Source organism: Homo sapiens, chromosome 13, assembly GCF_000001405.40.
Source record: "Homo sapiens chromosome 13, GRCh38.p14 Primary Assembly".
NCBI classification, from domain to species: domain Eukaryota; kingdom Metazoa; phylum Chordata; class Mammalia; order Primates; family Hominidae; genus Homo; species Homo sapiens.
In genome coordinates, this window is record NC_000013.11 from 85,842,313 (window position 1) to 85,864,686 (window position 22,374).

The window sequence follows — 22,374 nt, forward strand, 5'->3', positions numbered from 1 at the left end:
TTGGTGAATATTTGTCATTTGTCCATAGGCTACAGATAAAATGTGCCTCAAAATAAATAAAGTTCTCTTCTCAAAGCTCATAGTACAATGGAGATAACATTTTTTAAAAAATCCATAAGGTACAAGAAAAACATCCATTTTTTCAGATTAGCAAAAAGAGAATAAGCTCCATATGTAGAAATAAACAGTGCACTGATATTGTGAAATAACCTATTCCAATAGCAAACAATTTCAGCTTCTTATTTATTTTAAATGAATATAAATTACGTTGTTCATAAATGCCTTTTACAGTATTATTGTTGGCAAATAATGTGAAGCTTATAGTATAGTGCACTTACTTTACACATAGGCCCATCGGATCCCAAGGTCCAAGATTTCAGTTACAATAAACTGATGCAGGTTTGCTAAATTTTAAATCCAACTTACAAGGGATGTGAAGGACCTCTTCAAGGAGAACTACGAACCATTGCTCAACGAAATAAAAGAGGACACAAACAAATGGAAGAACATTCCATGCTCATGGGTAGGAAGAATCAATAGCGTGAAAATGGCCATACTGCCCAAGGTAATTTATAGATTCAATGCCATCCCCATCAAGCTACCAATGACTTTCTTCACAGAATTGGAAAAAACTACTTTAAAGTTCATATGGAACCAAAAAAGAGCCCGCATTGCCAAGTCAATCCTAAGCCGAAAGAACAAAGCTGGAGGCATCACGCTACCTGACTTCAAACTATACTACAAGGCTACAGTAACCAAAACAGCATGGTACTGGTACCAAAACAGAGCTATAGACCAATGGAACAGAACAGAGCCCTCAGAAATAATGCTGCATATCTACAACCATCTGATCTTTGACAAACCTGACAAAAAGAAGAAATGGGGAAAGGATTCCCTATTTAATAAATGGTGCTGGGAAAACTGGCTAGCCATATGTAGAAAGCTGAAACTGGATCCCTTCCTTACACCTTATACAAAAATTAATTCAAGATAGATTAAAGACTTAAATGTTAGACCTGAAACCATAAAAACCCTGGAAGAAAACCTAGGCAATACCATTCAGGACATAGGCATGGGCAAGGACTTCATGTCTAAAACACCAAAAGCAATGGCAACAAAAGCCAAAATTGACAAATGGGATCTAATTAAAGAGCTTTGCACAGCAAAGGAAACTACCATCAGAGTGAACAGGCAACCTACAGAGTGGGAGAAAATTTCTGCAATCTACTCATCTGACAAAGGGCTAATATCCAGAATCTACAAAGAACTCAAACAAATTTACAAGAAAAAAACAAACAATGCCATCAAAAAGTGGGCGAAGGATATGAACAGACACTTCTCAAAAGAAGATATTTATGCAGCCAACAGACACATGAAAAAATGCTCATCATCACTGGCCATCAGAGACATGGCAAATCAAAACCACAATGAGACACCATCTCACACCAGTTAGAATGGCGATCATTAAAAAGTCAGGAAACAACAGGTGCTGGAGAGGATGTGGAGAAACAGGAACACTATTACACTGTTGGTGGGACTGTAAACTAGTTCAACCATTGTGGAAGTCAGTGTGGCGATTCCTCAGGGATCTAGAACTAGAAATATCATTTGACCCAGCCATCCCATTACTGGGTATATACCCAAAGGATTATAAATCATGCTGCTATAAAGACGCATGCATACATATGTTTATTGCGGCACTATTCACAATAGCAAAGACTTGGAACCAACCCAAATGTCCATCAATAATAGACTGGATTAAGAAAATGTGGCACAGATACACCATGGAATATTATGCAGTCAGAAAAAATGATGAATTCATGTCTTTGTAGGCACATGAATGAAGCTGGAAACCATCATTGCCAGCAAACTATCACAAGGACAAAAAACCAAACAGCACATGTTCTCACTCATAGATGGGAACTGAACAATGAGAACACTTGGACACAGGAAGGGGAACATCATATACCGGGGCCTGCTGTGGGGTGGGGGGAGCGGGGAGGGATAGCATTAAGAGATATACCTAATGTAAATGACGAGTTAATGGGTGCAGCACACCAACATGGCACATGTACACATATGTAACCTGCACGTTGTGCACATGTACCCTAGAATTTAAAGTATAATAATAAAAAATAATAATAATAAAAAGTGGAACCTGAGGTCATTATGTCCCTTCTGGAGGACCCCAGAAGTGTTCTTACTTGTTCATTGCTGACTGATGCTCTTCCCTTTGTTCTGGTTATTGCTGTAAATAGAGCAGAGTCACTTAAAATATGCATAAAAAATCAAACTCAACCAATATTTATGAAGTTCCTTATAAATACCAGATATTGTATCAACAATGCTCAATAGATTTTCCACAAGAAAGGTTAATGCTAATTACAGGCTCAGACACAGGCAGTGGACAACTATGTTTTGTATAAGACAATCGTCAACTTTTTTATTCCCTACTCTAATTTGACTTTCAATTTGTTCTAATCATCTGATCAGGCAGCATTTCCTGGAATAGGTTTTTGAAAGTTTCAGAAAGGCAGTCATAGACACATAAAATTTAGATGGAAGGGATTATTTCAAAGTCACCTGTTTTTAGTACTCTTTTGCTTATCAAAAGACAGCATTTGCTTTGAATAAATATAATTTCAAAAGAATAAAAAGAATGAATTATACCAGTATTCAGAAAATAAAGCATTTATTAATTCATCAAAGTGTCAGCAAGGCAGATACCTAAATATATTACCATGGCATGTCTGGGAAACAATAGAAATATTAATAGATAAACTGTGTCTCTCTTATCCACATTTCTTTTTTTTTTTTGAGACGGAGTCTCGATCTCTCACCCAGGCTGGAGTGCAGTGGCACGATCTTGGCTCACTGCAAGCTCCGCTTCCCTGGTTCACGCCATTCTCCTGCCTCAGCCTCCCGAGTAGCTGGGACTACAGGAGCCCGCCACCACGCCCAGCTAATTTTTTGTGTTTAGTAGAGACGGGGTTTCAACGTGTTAGCCAGGGTGGTCTCGATTTCCTGACCTCGTGATCCGCCTGCCTCGGCCTCCCAAAGTGCTAGGATTACAGGCATGAGCCACTGTGCCCGGCTCTTATCCACGTTTCTCTTTAACTTCCTCTCCTTTATAGAGTTTCTTTATAGATGTTTCTTTACTTGGCATTGACTCATTACCACCAAGTGATTTTATCACATAGTTCAGCCTCTATACTTTTCACTGTTACCCAAATTTTTTTCTAAATGTTATTTCCTTCAGTAAAAATTAAATTATGTGAATCTAATTTCCTTTGAACTTAACTATATTATAGGAATTAAGAAATTTTACCATACTAAGTGGAATAAGAATATTAATGGGTTTATATATTATCCTACCTTTACTCTTTCTCACTCTTATATTAGAAATTAAGTGACTTCATTTAAATACTTTATTTAAAATAAACTGTACTAATCTAAATTGTTCAGATGATGAGTTTTGGCAAATGTCTGCATCTGGGTATCTACCTATATTTGCAGAGAATGTGTTTGCATCTATCCTGCTTGGGGTTTCCCGAGCTCTCAATTTTGAGTGGAAGTCCTTCATCAATTTTTGAAGGCATTCAGCAATTATCTCTTTATTTCTCCTGTCTAATTTTCTCTCTCTTCTCTTTTATTGCCACACAATAACATAGGAGCTAAGTCATTCAATTTGTTTCTTTCTTTTTTCTTTTCTTTCTTTTTTTTTTTTGAGATGAGGTCTCACTCTGTTGTCCAGGTTGGAGTGCAGTGGCTAATTATGCCTCTTCAGGCACAATTGTAGTGTGCCAAAGCCTCAAACATTTGTGCTCAAGTGATTCTCCTGCCTCAGCCACCAGAGTAGCTGAGAATGCAAGTGCACCCAGAGTAGCTGAGACTGCAGGTGCCCGGCTTAGGCCATTTCATTTTTTAAAAATGTTTTGTTTTTTGGTCTTATTTCACTGTTTTCCAGTATAAATATTTTCTATTGACATAAAGTTCATTGTCTTTTTTTTTCATTGTTGAGTCCAATCTAATTTTTTTATCAATGAATTCTTTATATATGATCTTATGTTTTTAACGTTTTGTTCTATTTTATTTTTTAAAAATTGGTTTCTATGTCTCTAGTGGAACTCCTCATATTTTCATACATATTGTTCACAATTTTCAGTAGATATTTACATAGCATTTTTATTGTACTTGAAATTCACTTTCTGATAATTTTAGTATCAGAGACATCTTTGCTTCTACTGATGGTTCTTCTTATGATCATGTGTTATATTTTCTTGCTTATTTATGTGTCTTTTAAAATGGAAGTAATATTGTTAAACTTTTTAAAGAACATGCTCTGTCTTGTGCCAGGTTACTTGAGTGGGAAGCTGAATCAATCTTACCTGTATTTGAGTAGAATCTGGTAATTTTCGAAAGTTTAATTTGATTGGGTTTACCATTGGGTTCAAATGTTTTTACAAATAAGATAAAAAAATTCTCTTCTGTGGGACTTTGATTCTGAAGAAAGCTGAGACTCCAAAGATCTTTCTGTTCTTTACAGCTGAGCCTCCCCTTTCCAGACTGTAGATCTCTCTGTGCTCTATATCCCACCATTAGCTTTGTCTTCAGTGGGGAAATATTTTATTTCTCTTTAGTCTTGACCTATGCTTTCTATGCCTATAGAGAGTTCTTTGATGGAATATGTAAGAAGAATTTCTCTCAGCACTTCTGTCATCTCTCTTTATCTCCTTCTGTGGTGGGTTTGCCTCCTCTCAACAATGCCAATAATGAGAACAAAATTATCTACTCTCGTCTGAAAAGCTGATCACTTTCTGTAAATGAGTCCACTTCTGTGTCTTTGCGTATTGGTTCTCTGATAGTTTCAGAGAAACTATGATATTTTAGTGGGTCTGTCTTGTTATGTGGTTAGTATGAAAGTAACATATTGCAACGATCTCCAACGCAACAGGAACAGAAGTCTCTCTCTCTGTCTCATGAGCAATATATTTTTGCTGGCTTTTTGTTGTTGTTGTTAACTTAAGAAGTTAATTTAATAGCAAGACCTTCCATCCAGTTAACCGAGATGCTTTGAAGCGTGATGGCTGGCTGACTGTGTATATATAGCTCTTACTGCTTCTTTTTAGGCCTGATTGTTTTGAAATAACCTAGTTTTAATATTTTCAGAAAAAATCCATGTTATGATACAGCTATTCAATATTGAATTATTATTGAAATCTGGGCATTTCTCCTTATGTGACCTTTGTTCAGTTAAAGTGTCTTTATTTGTACTTAACTTTTTTCCATATCCTCAAATACCTTTATAGAATTCTCTTAATCGTATCCTATTTAAAATATGCTCAAGAGAAAATTTATAATGGTATTTACATTTCATGTGATTTACTATTCTTTTTAGGTACTTTATATAAAATATTTCTAATTTTTATCCATCACATTTTAAACTTGATAGAATTTTTCAGGGTTGCAATGAAACCCATTTTCTGTTTGCCATCCAACAAGAAAGGAAAACAGGAAGAAAAAGTAAGCTATCAAGGTTCAGAAAAATCTGATGTTAAGCCTGGTTATCTGTTATTTTTCTTTTGAGAGTTTCTGTTTTTAAATTATAGAAACAATAATCATTGTGCTTTAAATGCCTGTCAGGTGTAAAATCTAGAATCCATTAACAAACAGAACAGGTTTGAACATGTGCACTTATGAGAATAATTTTAAAAATGTTATATAATTTACAACCATCTCCTCTAAAACTGCCAAAATAACCAAAAATTATTTTACCGATTTATGAAAAATATTATAATCATTTTATCCATCATCATTCACAAAATTATATTATAATAACTTCATTAAGGAAAGCACTTGCTGATTCGCATCAGTTTAGGAAATCTTATACTTGCTACTTTTTTCCTTGACATGGTTTAAATAGCACTTAGCTTGGTGTACTCTGCAATATACTCAGGAGGAATTGCTAAAGTACTAAAATATTCATGTTTTGATGCATTGCACTTATTCCTCAGTGCCTTCTCAGTTTTGTAAGAACAAACCTAAAAGTAGCTATAGAAGTATCAGCAGTATCAGGTCTGTCAAAATAAACTTTATAAATGGAGTGTTTAGGAACATTCTGATGAGTTTGCCAAAAAATACCCTACTGGAACTAACAAACTTGGTAAATGTCTTAGACTTATAGAACACATAGAAAAATAAAAGGTTATGATTTTAATAGTTGTAGCCATGTAATAATATATATATTGGGGAACAATGTTTGGAAAATTATTTCTACTTATAAGGTTATTGAAATGTAAGTTATTATACTGTATTCAAGCACCATGTCCATATGACTCTGAAAAACAAAATAAATTAACATGAAAATTAATGGGATTTGGATTACATTTTTCTTTCTTCAATTAGTATACATGTTGATAAAACTTCTTAGATGTTTGGTAATTAAATGTATTTTGTATCAATATGTTAAAAATTTACAGCCAAAAACATACAGAAATCGTTTAAGTGGTGAGGATATAAATACACTAGTTCTCTATAACTATAAGGGTTTAGATAATATTAACCATAAGCTACTATATCTAAATTTCATCTAGTCATAGAAAACCTCAAATAGCAGTGTCTTGGAAACTTTTCCAACACTATACTTACAGAAGGGTGATGTTTAAAATTGTTCTAGGAAATTCTGCTTTAATTCACCTTTTGTAACATAATTGTCAAAAACTTTCAGTATTTTTGCTACTTTGAGTGTAGTTATATTTTTAATTAAATACAACACATTCACCCCCACCACAAATACAAACACGATTACTCACTGAGCATATTTTAAGTAGGTATAATTTTTCTTTTACCTCATGGTCAGTCACTGAATCTTATAAATATGTGTATTAGTCTGTTCTCATGCTGCTAATAAAAAAAGCATTCCTGAGACTGTATAATTTATAAAAGAAAGCGGTTTAATTGACTCACAGTTCCACATGGCTGGGGAGACCATGCAATCATGGCAGAAGGCAAATGAAGAGCAAAGTCACATCTTACATGAAGGCAGGCAAGAGAGAGTGTGCAGGGGAACTCCCCTTATAAAACCATCAGATCCCAGGAGACTTATTCATTTTCACAAGAACAGCCCCTGTGGATCATTACCTCCTACACAGTCCTTCCCATGACATATGGGAATTATGGGAGCTACAAATCAAAACGAGATTTGTGTGGGGACACAGCCAAACCACATCATTCTTTCCATGGCCCCTCCCAAGTCTCATGTCCTAACACTTCAAAACAAATCATGTCTTCCCAACAGTCCCCCAAAGTCTTAATTAATTTCAGCATTAATTCAAAAGTCCACAGTCCAAAGTCTCACCTGAGAAAAGGCAAATCCCTTCAACCTATGAGCCTATAAAATCAGAAGCAAGTTTGTTACTTCCTAGATACAATGGAGGTACAGGCATTGGGTAAATAAACCTGTTCCAAGTGGGAGAAATTGGCCAAAATGAAGGGACTACAGGACCCATGCAAATCCAAAATCCAGTGGGGCAGTCAAATCTTAAAGCTCCAAAATGATCTCCTTTGACTCCATGTCTCTCATCCAGGTCATGCTGATGCGAAAGATAGATTCCCATGGTCTTGGACTGCTCCTCCCCTGTGGCTTCGCAGGGTACAGCCCCACTCCTGTCTACTTTCACAGGCTGGTGTTGAGTGTCTGTGGCTTTTCCAGGTGCACAGTTCAATCTGTCAGTGGATCTGCCATTCTGGGTTCTGGAGGATGGTGGCCCTCTTCTCACAGCTCCACTAGGCAGTACCCCAGTGAGAACCTTGTGAGGGGGTCCCACCCACATTTCCCTTCCACACTGCCCTAGCAGAGGTTCTCCATGAGGGCTCCATCCCTTCAGCACACCTCTACCTGGATATCCAGACATTTCTATGCATCCTGTGAAATCTAAGCAGAGGTTCCCAAACCTCAATTCTTGACTTCTGTGTACTCACAGGCTCAACACCACGTGGAAGCTTTCAAGGCTTGGGGCTTGCACCCTCTGAAGCCATGGCCTGAGCTGTACATTGTCTCCTTTTAGCTATGGCTGGGATGCAGGGCACCAAGTCTTGAGACTGCACAAAGCAGCAAGGCCCTGGGTCTGGCCCACAAAACCATTTTTCTCCCGCTAGGCCTCGGGGCCTATGATGGTGGGGCTGCTGTGAAGATCTCTGACATGCCCTGGAGACATTTTCCCCATTGGCTTGGCAATTAACATTTGGCTCCTTGTTACTTATGCAGATTTCTGCAGCAGGCTTGAATTCCTCTTCAGAAAATGAGTTTTTCTTTTCTATTGCATCACCAGACTGCAAATTATCTGAACTTTTATGTTCCACTCCCTTTTTAAACATAAGTGTCTCCTTCAAACCATATCTTTGTGATTATGTAAAACTGAATGCTTTCAACAGCACCCAAATCAACTCTTAAATGCTTTGCTGCTTAGAAATTTCTTCCAGCAGAAACCCTGCATATTCTTTCTCAAGTTCAAAGTTCCAAAGATCTCTAGACAGAGGTAAAGTGCCACCAGTCTCTTTGCTAAAACATTGCAAGAATCACCATTATTCAAGTTCCCAAGAAGTTCCTCATCTCCACCTGAGATGAGTAGCATTTGGTCAAAGTCATCCAATAAGTATCTAGGAAGTTCCAAACTTTATCCCACTTTTCTGTTTTCTTCTGAGCCATCCAAACTCTTCCAATCTCTGTCTGTTACATAGTTCCAAAGTTGCTTCCACATTTACAGGTATCTTTACAGCAGCGCCCCACTCCTGGCACCAATTGACTGTGTTAGTCTGTACTCACACTGCTAATAAAGATTTACCTGAGGCTACATAATCTATACAGGAAAGAGGTTTAATTGACTCACAGTTCCATATGGCAGGGGAGACCTCACAATCATGGTGGAAGGCAAATGAGGAGCAAAGTCACGTCTTATCTGGCAGGAAGCAAGAGAGTGTGTAGGTGAACTCCCCTTTATAAAACCATCAGATCTCATGAGACTTATTCATTATCATAAAAACAGCACAGGAAAGACCTACCCCCATGATTCAGTTACCTCCCACATGACATGTGGGAATTATGGGAGCTAAAATCAAGAGGATATTTGGATGGGGACACAGGCAAACCACATCAACATAATTCCTTAATATTGATTTAATCCATTATTTATTCATGTATTAAACTGTTCTTAATTTTTTCTTTTGATATCTTTAGTGAATACTTTGAGCTGATAATTTAAAATATCTTTTAAAAAATTTCACCAATTAGCTTCACAAATTTTATCAATAAATGTTATTACCTCACAAGTTAAAAGGCAATCACTGAGTATAAAGGATGTTTGCATTATATAAGTAGTAAATATTTATGTAACTACTATATATGCATTTATTTATCATCTATTTAGCTACATCAATGTATCTAATGATGTAGTACATCACTGCTATCTTTTTAGATACTTCAGTGACTTTGACGTTTTTATATCCCCAGCAAATTTTTGGCTTTTCTCTTGAACAGTGTTTGTTATTGCCTGTCGTTTGTTACAAGCCATTTTAACTGGGATGAGATGATATATTATTAAAGTTTTGATTTGCATTTATCTGATGTATTAGTCCATTTTCACACTGCTGATAAAGACATATCCTAGACTAGGTAATTTATAAAGGAAAGAGATTTAATTGGCTAACAGTTCCACATGGCTGGGGAGGCCTCACAATCATGGTGGAAGGCAAGAAGGAGCAAAGTTACATCTTACATGGCATCAGGCAAAGAGAGAATGAGAGTCAAGTGAAAGGGAAACCCCTTTTCAAACCATCAAATCTCATGAGACTTATTCACTACCCCAAGAACAGTATGGGGGAAAAAACGTCATGATTCAATTATCTCCCACTGGGTAACTCTCACAACACATGGGAATTATGGAAACTATAATTCAAGATGAGATTTGGGTGGGGACACAGAGCCAAACAATATCATCTGATAATCAGTGATGTTGAGCACCTTTCATATGCCTGTTTGCCATTTGTATGTCTTCTTTTGAGAAAAATCTTTTCAAATTGTTTGCCCTTTTTAAAAAGTCATGTGATTAGATTTTTTCCTATACAGTTGTTTGAGCTCTTTATATATTCTGGTTATTATTCTGTTTCGCAGGAATGTAAAATTAGCTGGGGACTGCTCAAAGATTATTTTTTAAGGATTGCTGAAAAACTATGCATGTGGCTCTTGTGAATATTTTATGCGTATTTACAAGTGCAGCATATAAAAATATTACTTGACAAGGTGTTACATTACCGACAAAGGACTCCTGTAATTCAAAGACAATCACCTATAATAAGCTGCTGATATCTAGATTCACCAGTAGTTGAAAATGAGGTAAAGGATCTTTGTTGACTGCAAAAAGGAACAGCATCTATTGTTGATGATAAATCATTGTGTCTGTATGCTTGTGCAAAATATAGTATGTATATATCTTTCATTAAATTTTTGGGACTCCATCATTATTTTCTAAGTTTAGATAGCACTTTTAGAACTTTACTATCATGTGCTTTTTGTTTCTGGTTTTTCTTCTCTCCTCCATACTGTAATATTATGCATTTTTCTTCTCTCTTTTTCCACAATATCAACTGAGTGAAAAAAGTGGGTTAAAGTAAAATCACAGTTAGTAGAAAATAAAGTAAAAATAGAAAATAGTACTGAAATATACAAGCACATATACTCATACAATGGGATATTTTATTTGTATTGGACTGATTACCTTACTGGAAGGGACTGTATTTTGTGGAAGGTTTGATAAACTTGGTGATTGTTTGTACTCTTGCTACAAATCATTGTTGGCAATGTAAGCCCTTCTGAAGCAGCTGCTGGGGAGTCGTCTGCTGCAGCAAGGGGGTGGGGGTGAGGCTGAAGCCATGTGCTACATGGGTCTGGCAGGAGCAGGATACAGGTGACAGCCCCACCCCCTATGAGTTGGCAGGACTCCCCTGTCTCCCAGGTGCAGCTGCAGCAGCCCAGGCATAGATCCAGACCCGGGCGCCCCTGTGCTCTAAGAGGTTTGGGAAGTCCCTGGTCCTGAAGGTTCTGAAGTGCCTACTCCCACTCTCTGGCCTCTCCCCAACCCCAAGTGCCCACTCCTGTGCTGAGCAAAGTTTTGGCCTAGCCCGGGCACTGTCTTGACCTGGTTGGGTGTGTGTGTACTTGGGTCAGTGCTGACACCCCAGCCCCCTACTGCCTCAGCCACCTTCAGACTTTGGACACTAACGAACATGGGAGGGATGCTGGGTAAGGGCTGAGGGCAGCTTGGTGTGGGCCAGCAGGCACCCCTCGGCCTGAACTGCCTGGGCACCTGGACAACATGTTGATGGCAGGAGGCAGACAGGTTCCTGGGTGGAAAGGGGTGGGTCCCTCGTGAAATCCAACCTTCAAGACAGGGATGGCCTGAAGCCCGGGGGCCAGGCTGCCAGCTCTGGGTGGAGACTGCAGCTGGGAGTGAGAACTTATGGTGCTTTTTAGGGGCCCACCCATGGGCCAATCAGCATGCACTTCCTCCCTCTGAGCCCATAGAATTGATTCAGCCAGACTCAGAAAGATGTCAGGACTACCAGCTGAGGGTGGAACTACCCACTTCTAGTCTCCCTGACAGTGGGAGACCACTGGTCTCCTCTCCACTGAGAGCTGTACACTCATTGGGATGACCTGCCTGCAGAAAGGAGCTACCTAAAAAGGAGCTACCCACTTTGGGTCTCCTGAGAGCTGTTCTGTCGCTCAATGAAAGCTCCTCTCCACCTTACTCACCTTCCAGTCATCTGCATACCTCATTCTTCCTGGACATGGGACAAGAACTGGGAGACCACTGAATGGCAGGACTGAAAGAGGCGTAACACAAACAGAGCTGAAACACTTCCCCCACTTGTCGTGTTGTGGGTGATAAGGAGAGAAGGGCTGTGGCCCTTAGAGAAGCCCAGACCTAGGGAACCTCCAAGCCAGGGCTGTGACACCCTCTTTACGGCTCTGCAGTTCCTGGCCTCTCCAAGCTTCTGGGCACCACCAGGTTTCCTCATACCCACAGTGGAAGACACTTGCGTTACACCTGGTCCAGCCGCAGCCTCGCACAGGGCCAGCATCTGTATTGGTGCTTGGAGCTCCCTGCCCTGTGGCAGACGGCACTCCTGGCTGTGCACAGTGGCCAGACCCTGTGCTCATTCACACTCGCCTTACTGCTCTGTGCCGGCTTGCCCTTGGTAGACATAGGATCTCTGCAGGTAGTGCGAGCTGAGTGCAGCCTGTGGGGCTGAGTGGGTGGAATGAGCCTAGCAAGCCCCAACAAAAGCACCCTTGGCCACAGAGTTTTCCAGCCAGAAAAGTGACACCCTAAGGATCCTGTGACATCATTGTGAGAGAAAAGTTCTTAAAATATAGTAATTTTGTGTGTTTTTTTCTCATAAAACAAACCACCACAATAAAAACAGGGCCCCAAATTCAAGAGGAAACTCAAAAACATATTAGTAAACACACACGTAACTCATGCTGCTGCAGCAGTGGGTGAAGAAGGAGATTTGCTTCTCTAGGGACTGTATAGATGAGATTTTAACACCTGTGCAATGTCAGGAGATGCAGCTCTCTCCTTATGTATGTCCTAGAGCTGGAAAATTTTAAATTTGTCTGAAAGGGATTTTTAAGAAAAGAGAATATAGAATACACAGAGGTACTGTTTTTCAACGCTTTCCAAAAGTTGATCATGACTTTTTAGTTAATTGGAATACCGTCTTCTCATTGTTGAAGTGAAGAATTTGTAGTCATTTTTAACTTCTCCCTTCCACTCAAATACCTCATCCAATAAGTCAGCAAATCCAATATGTCAGTATATAGATTTTACTTTTAAAATATATCCAAGATCTCACCACATTTTACTGCTTCCAACTCTAACACCCCAGAATTAGCTCATATCATTTGTCACCAGACAAATGACCTTCATGCTTCTATCCAATCTCCCTGCACTGTCTCCTCAACAGGGTAGTCAAAATCTTACTCCTCTGTTTAAAATACAGTCATATGTCAATTAACAAAGGGACACTTCCTAAGAAATGCATATTTAAGTAATCACCTGAATTCTATAATCATTGTTTGTGTGAATATCATAGAGTGTACTGACAGAAACCTAGATGGGCTAGCCTACTCCATGCCTAGGCTACATGGTATAGCCTATTGCTTCTAGGCTGCAAAACTGTACAGAATCTTACTGTACAGAATACAGCAGGGAATTATAACACAATGATAAGTATTTGTGTATTTAAGCACACATTAGCATAGAATAGGTATAGTAAAAATCTGTTTAAAAAGATTTAAAAATGGTACACTTACCATGAATAAAGATTGCAGAAAATGGAAGTTGCTCTGTATGAGTTGGTGAGTGAGTGTCTACGAATGTGAAGGCTTAGGATATTACTGTACACTACTGTAGAGTTTATAAACCCTATACCATTCGCTACCCTGAATTTATTTAAAAAGACATTTTTTCTTCTTCAATAATCAATTAGCCTTAGCTTATTATAACTTTTTTACTTTATAAATTTGAAATAAAAAAAAATTTGATTCTTTGGTAATAATGCAAAACACAAACACATTGTACAGCTGTACAAAATATTTCTTTCTGCATGCCTGTATTCTATAAACATTTTCCTCTTTAGCACAAATTATTTTAATTAAAAACAAAGACATGAACACAGACATTAGCCTAGGCCTACAAGATCATTAATACATTTGTCTACGCTTCCACATCTTGTCTCACTTAAAGGTCTTCAGGGGCAATAACATACATGGTGCTGTCATCTCCATGATAACAGTGCCTTCTCCTGGAATATATCCTGAAGGACCTGCCTGTGGCCGTTTTACAGTTAACATTTTTTTAATAAGTAGAAGGAATACAATCTAAAATAATGATAAATGGTATAATATAGTAAGTGCATAAACTAGTGACAGTCATTTATTATCATTACCAAGCATTATGTACTATACAGAATTGTATGTACTATACTTTTCTATGATTGGCAGTGTGGTATGTTTGTTTATACCAGTATCACCACAGACATGTGAGTAATGCATTGGGCTACAATGTTAAGACAGCTACGACATCAATAGGCCCTAGGAATTTTTCAGCTTCATGTTAATCTTAAGGGACCACCATCATATGTGCAGTCTGTCCTTTACCAAAACATTGTATGCAGCACGTTGCTGTAAATGCCAAGGATCCCCATGGGTTCTCTAAAATTATTTACAATTGCCAGGAAAAGTCTTTAAAATGGCCAAGGCCTTACCTGACTTGGCTGTTTGTTATTCTCTCTGCATCCTCAATTGTCCTCCTCTCATTCAACTCACTTCCTCTGCAATAGATTCTTTTCTTTTTCTATAACACACAGATATCCTTCTGCCTCAGGGCCTTTGCACCCATTGATACACTAGCATGAGAAAGCCTTACCTCCAGATATCCATCTTGCTTTCTCTTTCATGGTTTAATCCACTTTCTCAAATTTGGCCTTTTCAGGCTACCTGAATGAAAACTTTATTATCTCAACTCCAGGACTCATTATTCTAATTCTCTTTCTCATCTTTTAGCATCTAAATATTCCATGTGAATATGTAAAGTATTTAATTATTTTCTTTATTTCTTGTTTTCCCTCACTATTAACTTTTGTGGGAAAGAATTTTTGATTTTTCACTTATTTGTGTGCATATGTATATTTTAAAAACTGCTTGGAGCTCAGACCAGAGCCTGACACAGAGTAGATACTCAATGAATTCTTGTTAAAAATTAGTAATCAGACATTTTAGAAGTATTTTTACTCTTCTGTAAAAAAAATTCGGAACCTGGTCAAAAGTAACAGGATAAAATATAGAACAAAATTTCAAAATTTACAGCTCTTCTATTCCTAAATTGAAAGCAAAATTTAGAAATTATCAATAAAATGTCTTCCACTTCACAGTTAGTTTTAAAAATTGCTAAATTGATATAACTAGATAAATTGGTAAAATATTATAAAACTTTTTCTTTTACTATATAAAAAATTTAATTTTCAAATAAATAATTGGTATACTACCCCAAACACTTTAATACTAAAATGCAGCTTAAAACATCGAATCCTATTGAAAAATAGGTCTCATTGCATTTTTATAAACCATGAAAATTTGCTTCAATGCCTGAGTACAATCTACATACATCACCTATTTTGAAGTTAATGAATGTATTAATCACATATAAGAGCGTAGTACTAGAGAAATACATAATCTCATTTTCTTTCATCTATGGGCAAAACGGTTGCCTTATATATTATGAAGTGAGCACTCAATAAAGTGTCTATATGGATAAATCTTTGTAAACAGAAGTTCAGATGACTCCATTTACACGTTTCCAAAGTACCATGTTAGCAAAGACTAGCAGCATTTGGAGACTTTATTTTTAAAGAGTCTCCTTGTGCATATCCAAGTGCGTTTGACTCTTGGCATGGCAGACAGGGGTCCTCTCTCTGCAGGAAATAAAAACTTTCTGAAATCTTTGTGCTCAATTGGAATCCTTCTGAGGAGTAATTCAACGCATCTTAGAAAATGAGGTAGGTGAACAGTCATGATCCCCAAACATGAGTCGCAAAAAACAATATGAAATATTTAGAAAATATTTTTAAAATATTTGAATCCACAAAATTTCTAACTTTCAGAAATCAGTGAAAAGAACATTTGGAGACTTCAAATTTGTTGTTAGTATAATATTAATTACAATTGGGAGAAATACATCAAATATAGTAGGATAAAATAATTTAAAATTTGACCAACAGAATGAGAAGTAAAATACAGAATGTTACGGTAAGCTTACCAAGAATTTCTATTCTTTAAATCTAGTGTATTTTAATAACATTAAAAATTTGGCATATATTCATTCCATTGCACCAAAAGAATATATTTTGTAGCTGCCATATTATTATTTTTTATAAAGGATATATTTTAACCAGTAATTTGAAAGTTTACAATTTTGATTCAAGGCCTGTGCTCCCTCCCACCCCACAAATGGAGGAAAACAAAAATAGTAATATATATTACAATTTTTTAAAGTTTTGAGATAATTATATGTTTTCATAAGTATAATTTAAGTTAACAAGATATGTCGCAATGATTATTTTTATTCTTTCAACAAATATTGATTGCATACCTACCATTGGAAATAGAATAATGAGCACAATATTTGCTCGAACATAAGATACAGTCTAATAGGGAGAGAGACTGCTCAAATGTGATACATGCCTATGTAGCCTTATAACCTAAAATACATATATGTTATAAAAGATAGAAATATGATGCTATGAGAGAATACTGTATAACAGAGAAACTTACCTATAGGATGAAATACAAACTTTCATGACTATATTACAACGGGAATCAGATTTATAGGTTTATACATGAATTTGGATAGGAAAAGGCCAATAGAATAAATAATCTTTCCTGAGATATAATGTGAGGCATTGTTTGTTACAGGGAACTGAAATTCAGCCAGTATGGCTGGAAATCAGAGGTTAAGGGAGAGCATACAAAGACTCTGAAGGAGTTAGAAAACTAAACAGGAACTTCTGGGTCATATTTAAGAATGTAGTCTTCTCCTTAATTAAAAAGGAAGAGTCATTAAATCTATAAATTATAATGACAAGGCTACATTAGCATTTTAAAGTGACCATTCATGATGTGGTTTGGGAAACATATTGGAGTAGATGGAGTAGATGAGAGTGAACACAATAAGTTAGGATGCTTTTGCTGGCTTTGGGTTGATAGTTAATGTTACTTTAGATGACAAGAGTGGCAATAAATATGTAGATATGTGGTCATATATCAAAATATGTAAGATGTAAATTAATGACATAGTAATCAATTGTATATGGGTTGTGAGAAGCAAGATTGTATCATTAATGTATTCAATTAGCAAATACTAAATCTATACTATTTGCTACTTCAGTTATTGCTAATGAGAATAAGTGAATAAGACAAAGTCCATTTCCTCCTTCAAGTTACATTATTTAATGATAATTTTTCTGACCTTTGTAACTATAAGCATAAAGATGCCATTCACCCAAATAGTAATATGGATCTTCTAGGTAAATCTAGGTAAATGTAAATATTTAGTTGAGTTTAGTAGGGAAAATCATGGATCAATGGTGAATTAGAATTGGAGTTGCCTTTACAATATTCAAATACATGGGAAGTTTGATACTTCAGGCTATAATGCATAGAAGGCACATTTGCAAGGAGAAACACAATTTTTGGTCAGTGTTATGTAGAAGGCAATTAAAACTGAGGTTGTAAATGACATTTTCTAGAAAGAGTTATAAAAGACGAGAAATGTGACAAGGATGTAATCATGAAGTCCCTGAATATTTCATTGTCAAATAAATAAGATACTTCTCTGAAAGGAACTGGGATATTTCAGATTAGATAAAAGCTCAATGACTGAGACCTCAGGGATGCTTAGTTTGGTGAATATTATTAAGAAAGAGAAAGCTGTCTAGTGGAATGTTAGGCAAGATGAAGACTGAAAATAAAAATTCTTCACTGGATTTTTGAACATGGAGATCATTGGATTCATTGGTAACTACTGTTTTGTTGAACTAATGAACATAAAAGTCAGATTGGAATAAGATAAGAATAGTGGGAGTTGAGAAATGGAGGTTTGTATGAATAGACCTAAGGCACACAGCTCCATACATAGGGTATTCACATTTCACCGGTGAGGAAGTTGAACCCCAGAGTTGTTAGATACCTTACACATGACACAAAGAATTGCCAATAATCAGATTGGAGTCTTATGTGCTTTATAATACAAAATGAAAGAAGACATGTACATAATTTCAATTATTTCCAAATCATGACATCTACTTACTAATTTCTAAAAAATATCTGGCTGATTTATTTCATATTCTATCTCTGGGATAAGTAGTAAAACATAATAATTATATATATATATGCATACGCATATTACATGTGTGTGTATATGTATAGGGGTGTGTATGTGGGTGCAAGGGTATGTGTGTATGGTAAATGTTTAGAGATGGTAAATCCAAAATAAATCATTTCAGCTTGCATGAGGGATTGTCAATATTGCTAGCAGCAGATGCGAGGGAACTTTGCTGTGTTCTCTTTCCCAACAAGGTAACTACTGTATTCTATTTCCTCGGGCAGAGTATGTCCCCTTTGTCCCATTGATAGAAGTCTTGACCATGTGACTTATATCCATCACTGATGCATAAAACATTGATAGTGGTGTGGAAAGAGACACATCGGGCAAAAGGAAAACAGACCTTCATATTTATTTCCTTTCTTTTTCCCTCCTACCATGTGTTTCTTCCGTTCTTCCTCACTTTCATCTAATTTCTATTGTATCAAAATTCTTTCCCATATCATGTAACTGCACTATACTAGCACCTTAGAAGAAAACATTGAATAGGATTTATTCTCACCCTTTATTGACTTATCCTATGTGAAGAGAAGGAGAAAGTAGTTTTGGAGATAAATAAGAGAAAGCTTCTAATGAATGCATTACCTTCTAATGTAAAGGACAGAGATGAACAAAAGATCATTCAAAATAAAACATTTACTTTCATTTTGAGCAACTAAGAAAAGTAGTGATATTCTAGGAGATTTTTATTATCATCTTCCCCAGGTTCATCATAATTTCAATAACATTAGTATTAGGAAATGCGCATATATTGATTTTATTTTTATGCTTCAAATAATTATTCACATTAACTATACATTTTATACCAGATACATATATCCAACCTACAACAATAGAATAGAAAATTGAAAGAAAGGCCACTAAGATTTTTATCTCACCCATTGTGCTAGTCCCATTTATTCTCTCATCATGTAGGACTGTCTATAAATATGTTCATGGTTGTTAATTCTATTATCCTTGAAGGTAACTTTAGAGTATGAAGGGGAAATTAATTACTTGTAATGTTTATAAGGATGACAGTGAAGAATTCAGTTTATAACCGTTCTTTTGATCCATTAGCTACTTACAAAAAAGGTTTTCTAATTTACTAGTGTCAAAATGAACAATTTCTTTCTAATTTGCAAAAACTAAACAAATAATAACTGATATTTACTGGCACAATTACTTAATAAAAACAAAACAAGTGCAGATAGATTAAAAACTTTAAAGGAATTAGATATTTTATCAGCTTAACTGGTTACTTTATCAGTTTAAGTTTTATGAGAAATTCACTCATCATGTTGAAAGCTTACCTGGCTACTTTAGAAACACGTTAATCCCATTATTTGCTCTCTAAAGGGCAGCAGGTACAATCCAGTGAATTACGGGGAGTCTGGTAACATCTTCTGACCTTTCAATATACGTCTAATAAAGATACAAACTGGTGCAATCAAGTACACTCTTTCATGTTTAATGGGAGAGCATTGACTTATACTTCATGGTATTTCTTTTCAATGGTTCTTGATGTAATTGTGCCCATTTTACATCATATTATGGAGAAAAATACCTTTTTTAAAAGCTTTATGTTTAATCTTTTAAATTTCTCTGTATTTTAAAATTATTAAAAATTTGAAAAGTAAATTTTTATTTGGCTAAAGCATTTTACTAAGGATTTTAAAATATTTTTTCGATTGCTCTTAAATTGTATTTCCTCTGGTTACATGGCTTTGCAAATATAAATCTGAACTTCACAAAATTAATTGATCTCTTGAAAAGAATTAATTTTTCTTTTGAGTAAAAACAAATCTTTGTTGTTTCCATAACCCCTACCACATTCAATCTAATCCCAAAGTCAATTTTGTCTATTGCCAAAGTATATTCCAAATCCATCTTCACTATCCTCTATCAACAGCCACCACCTTAGTCCAAATCTCCTAAACTATAAGAGCCTTCATTTGGTCTTCTTGCTTCCAAGTCCGAGCTTCAAAAACACCATTCTCCAAAGCAGCAGCCAAGGTGATCTTTCAAAAAATATGTTGTACTAACCCTCTCCTGCACAACATTTCCCAATAACTTTTTACTGTAATTAGGATAATAAGAAAGCATTTCATGGCCTTCAAGACCATTTAGCTTTTGCAGTTTTTCTCTACTACTACTACATTATGCTGTTTTCCTTCTTTGTCTCTACACTCTAGACCTTGTAGCTTCTACTTTGTCCTTGAATGTTTTAAGATTAGTTGTATTTTGACGACTTTGATTTGGAATTTTCTCCCATTGTATATTTACATGCCTATATCATACTCATTCTGTTGCCAACTTGAATTTCTCTAAAGAGCCTTCCTCTGACATTCCTGACTATAATAACAATCTCATAACTCTTCTTAGCTCATTGATTTCATAACAGTTATCGCAATTTATCTTATTAATGTATTTGCTAGTTTTAAATTCTCTCTATTCAAGAGATAAGATCTTTTATATAGTGTTAAGGGCTAAAATCTCAGTTACTAGGACAATTCATGGTGTATATTGGGCATTCAAATGATTTTTGACTTTTGATCTTTTAATTTTAGGGTATTAAATCATATGGTGTTAAGTTATTAAGCTATTAAATTGTGTAGTATTATTGCAATGTGTGTTGTTTTGTATAGCATCTGTGGAAGTTAGGGTTTATTTTACTGATATAATTAAATTCTAAGACTGTGACCCCCACACTCCAGCTCCCAAAGGGACCATGCCATTGGATAATCAACTACCCAAGAGAAAGGGCAGGACCTGTGTTTATGACAGGATATGACATCCTTGATTAGGTTATGTGGTATGATATGGTAGTGATATGGGGATATTGCAGATGTAAATAAAACTCTAATCTGCTGACTTTTAGTTAATAAAAAGAGCAGACTACATTGCTGGACCAAACCCAGATGAATCTTTTTTTTTTATTTTTTATTTTATTATACTTTAAGTTTTAGGGTACATGTGCACAACGTGCAGGTTAGTTACATATGTATACATGTGCCATGTTGGTGTGCTGTACCCATTAACTCGTCATTTAACATTAGGTATATCTCCTAATGCTATCCCTCCCCCCTCCCCCCACCCCACAACAGGCCCCGGGGTGTGATGTTCCCCTTCCTGTGTCCATGTGTTCTCATTGTTCAATTCCCACCTATAAGTGAGAACATGCAGTGTTTGGTTTTTTGTCCTTGCAATAGTTTGCTCAGAATGATGGTTTCCAGATTCATCCATGTCCCTACAAAGGACATGAACTCATCCTTTTTTATGGCTGCATAGTATTCCATGGTGTATATGTGCCACATTTTCTTAATCCAGTCTATCATTGTTGGACATTTGGGTTGGTTCCAAGTCTTTGCTATTGTGAATAGTGCCACGATAAACATACGTGTGCATGTGTCTTTATAGCAGCATGATTTATAATCCTTTGGGTATATACCAGTAATGGGATGGCTGAGTCAAATGATATTTCTAGTTCTAGATCCCTGAGGAATCGCCACACTGACTTCCACAATGGTTGAACTAGTTTACAGTCCCACCAATAGTGTAAAAGTGTTCCTATTTCTCCACATCCTCTCCAGCACCTGTCATTTCCTGACTTTTTAATGATCGCCATTCTAACTGGTGTGAGATGGTATCTCATTGTGGTTTTGATTTGCCATGTCTCTGATGGCCATTGATGATGAGCATTTTTTCATGTGTCTGTTGGCTGCATAAATGTCTTCTTTTGAGAAGTGTCTGTTCATATCCGTCGCCCACTTGTTGATGGCATTGTTTGTTTTTTTCTTGTAAATTTGTTTGAGTTCTTTGTAGATTCTGGATATTAGCACTTTGTCAGATGAGTAGATTGCAGAAATTTTCTCCCACTCTGTAGGTTGCCTGTTCACTCTGATGGTAGTTTCTTTTGCTGTGCAGGAGCTCTTTAGTTTAATTAGATCCCATTTGTCAATTTTGGCTTTTGTTGCCATTGCTTTTGGTGTTTTAGACATGAAGTCCTTGCCCATGCCTATGTCCTGAATGGTACTGCCTAGGTTTTCTTCCAGGGTGTTTATGGTTTCAGGTCTAACATTTAAGTCTTTAATCTATCTTGAATTAATTTTTGTATAAGGTGTAAGGAAGGGATCCAGTTTCAGCTTTCTACATAGGGCTAGCCAGTTTTCCCAGCACCATTTATTAAATAGGGAATCCTTTCCCCATTTCTTCTTTTTGTCAGGTTTGTCAAAGATCAGATGGTTGTAGATATGCAGCATTATTTCTGAGGGCTCTGTTCTGTTCCATTGGTCTATAGCTCTGTTTTGGTACCAGTACTGTGCTGTTTTGGTTACTGTAGCCTTGTAGTATAGTTTGAAGTCAGGTAGCGTGATGCCTTCAGCTTTGTTCT

At 36.4% G+C, this 22,374-nt stretch overlaps 1 annotated feature.

The window, feature by feature from the left end:
• Positions 12,014 to 12,210: a silencer, noted in NCBI's record as "fragment chr13:86428461-86428657 (GRCh37/hg19 assembly coordinates)". NCBI's record gives its function as "represses an EF-1alpha promoter that drives an FKBP-Casp9 reporter gene in an ReSE screen in HepG2 liver carcinoma cells {active_cell/tissue: HepG2}" and the evidence as "EXISTENCE:reporter gene assay evidence [ECO:0000049][PMID:32094911]".